Source organism: Homo sapiens, chromosome 7 (genome assembly GCF_000001405.40).
Source record: "Homo sapiens chromosome 7, GRCh38.p14 Primary Assembly".
NCBI lineage: Eukaryota > Metazoa > Chordata > Mammalia > Primates > Hominidae > Homo > Homo sapiens.
In genome coordinates this window covers 138,351,620-138,354,473 of record NC_000007.14, presented here as the reverse complement: position 1 = coordinate 138,354,473, position 2,854 = coordinate 138,351,620, and the positions used below count along the sequence as shown (strand labels likewise).

Below are 2,854 nucleotides of genomic sequence, written 5' to 3'. Positions count from 1 at the left end.
AGCCGAGATTGTGCCACTGCCCTCCAGTCTGGGCAACAGAGTGAGACTCCATTTCAAGAATCAATCAATCAATCAATAAATGATTAGCTGGGTGTGGTGGTATACACCTGTAGTCCCAGCTACTTGAGAAGCCAAGGTGGGAGGATCACTTTAGCCCAGGATTTGAGATTGCAGTAAGCCATGATCACACCACTGTACACCAGCCTGAGTGACACAGCAAAATCCGTTAGAAAAAAAAAAAAAAAAGCTGGCTAGGTGTGGTGGCTTAGGCCTGTAATCCCAGCACTTTGGGAGGCTGAGGTAGGTGGATCACTTGTGCTCAGGAGTTCAAGACAACCCTGGGCAACATAGTGAGATACCCATCTCTACAAAAAAATACAAAAAAATTAGCTGGGCGTGGTGGCAAGTGCCTGTAGTCCAAACTACTTGGGAGGCTGAGGTGGGAGCATCATTGCACCTGGGAGGTGGAGGTTGCAGTGAGCTATGATCTTGCCACTGTACTCCAGCCTGGGTGATTGTGTCTCAAAGAAAAACTAAAAAGCTAATGCTACCTGTTTTAGGTTTTGGATACAAAGGCACTTCGTTTTTAGGTAACAAAGTTTGTTCTTTGTTATTTTTTGTGTGTAACAATTGAGGACTGCAAGAACTGGCTCACACCTATACTCTTAGCAGTTTGGGAGGCTGAGGTGGGAGGATTGCTTGTTCAGGAGTTCCTGGGAAACATAGCAAGACCCCATCTCTATTAAAAATAAAATAAAAAATAAAAATTAGCCAGGCATGGTGGTGCATGCTTGTAGTTCTAGCTACTTGAGAGGCTGAGATGAGAGGATCACTTGAGCCTAGAATGAGGCTACAGTGAGCCATGGTCATGCCACTGCAATCCAGCCTAAGTGACAGAGCGAGATGCTGCCTCATAATATAAAATAAAATAAAATAAATAAAGCAAAATAGAGCTGTGAAAAAGTCTCCAGAAGAAGAAACACACAATTCAACCTCCACACTAAGAGAGTTAACTAATCTCCAGTAGGGCTTCTAGTGGCCAAAGGCCATGCCCCGGGATAACCCAGCCCCCCTTACATTTCTGCCTGTAAAAACTTAAGGTTGCCAAAAGAATTTACTGTTAGTTGCAGCCAAAACCTGATGATAGACCCCTGACCTCCTTTGTCTTGGACCATTTACCTTTGAAATCTTGCAATTGTAAATCCTTTCTCTGTCTTTTTGAGGTGTATATCTATTTTCTTCAACTGTGGAATATGTTTTTCAAGGACCTGGGAGCCATCCCTTTGAAATATCATTAGGAAAGATAAGGCCCCTGTCTTCCAGTCTCTGTGGAAGCGTAGGAGCCTAACTTTGATAAACACCAGTTGGTGGACAGAGATGGCCTGATCATGTCCCTTAAGGCCCTTCAGTACTTTTCCTTTAGGACACACCTGGTTTGTGTGGGTGAGGGGGAGGGCTTTGCTGCAAGAGGGCTTGCCTGGGTGGGTCTGGCTTGGGATCCTTCCTGAGGTTGCTGTCAGAGAATGGCTGGGGCTGCAACAGCATGGGGCTAGAGCCGCTGGGGCCGGCCCTCCACTCTCTCACTATCTGGCCTCTCCAGGTCTCACCATGCGACTGGGTTGGGCTAGTCCGGGCCTCAGGGTAGTTGCACTACTTATCTAGCAGTTGCAGATTTCAACAGTGAGTATTCTAGTGAGCAGGGCGGAAGCTGCAATGCCTCGTCTGATCTAACCTTGAAAGGCAATGAGTCACAAGTCAGCCTGGAGTAAAGGGGAGGAAAGTAGACCCCATTTCATCATAGGAAGAATGTGAAGGCCACATTGCAGATGAGTACAAAGGATGGGAGATAACGCTGTGACCATCTTTGAGGAATGCCGCTGGCCACAATCATCTACTTGGCCAGCATTCAGATTTAATATGTTATATATTGTCTTTTATAGCCATAAATATTAATACTTCTTTGCCCCTCCATTTTCTTTTGGAATATTAGGCTCTCTCCCTTATTTGTGGGAGTTTACAACATTTTAGGCATTTGTCCAGGGCCTATAAAGCTGGGAGAAATAGGCTGGGTGTGGTGGCTCATGTCTGTAATCCCAGCACTTTGGGAGGCCGAGGTGGGCAGATCACCTGAGGTTAGGAGTTGGAGACCAGCCTGGCCAATATGGTGAAACCCATCTCTACTAAAAAATACAAAAATTAGCCAGGTGTGGTGACGGGCGCCTGTAGTCCCAGCTACTTGGGAGGCTGAGGCAGGAGAATCACTTGAACCCGGGAGGCAGAGGTTGCAGTGAGCCGAGATCGAGCCACTGCACTCCAGCCTGGGCGACAGAGCGAGACTCCATCTCAAAAAAAAAAAAAAAGCTGGGAGAAATAGAGAAATAGGCTATCTATATACACTGATAGAAATCTGTGTCTTTGAGACCTTTCTGACTGAATTCATGCTCTGGGCCACTATGACTGCCAAATTATCTTCATTATTAGATCTAGCATTTAAGCCCAGGGACTTCATATGACTCTTAGCAGTGAATAAAACCAAACAACAATGACAAAAAAAAAAAAAAAAATTCCAGGGACACCAGCCCCTTGAGATTTTTATATTTGCCATTTTAAAAATAATGCCATTAAAAAATAAATTGTTAATAAGATATGAAAATTAAGAACATTAATTTTTCTCTCTTTGAAAATAATTACATAGAGATTAAATTAAGAAAGAGAAGATGGCCGGGTGCAGTGGCCCACGCCTGTAATCTTAGCACTTTGGGAGCCTGAAGCAGGTGGATCACTTGAGGCCAGGAGTTTGAGACCAGCCTGGCCACCTTGGTGAAACCCCATCTTTACTAAAAATAGAAAAATT

General features: G+C 44.7%; 1 annotated feature.

Annotated features, from left to right (window-relative positions):
* Window positions 1,019–1,982: a transcriptional cis regulatory region, noted in NCBI's record as "candidate enhancer chr7.4907 targeted for multiplex CRISPR interference". NCBI's record gives its function as "positively regulates TRIM24 gene expression with high confidence in K562 cells {active_cell/tissue: K562}" and the evidence as "EXISTENCE:mutant phenotype evidence [ECO:0000015][PMID:30612741]".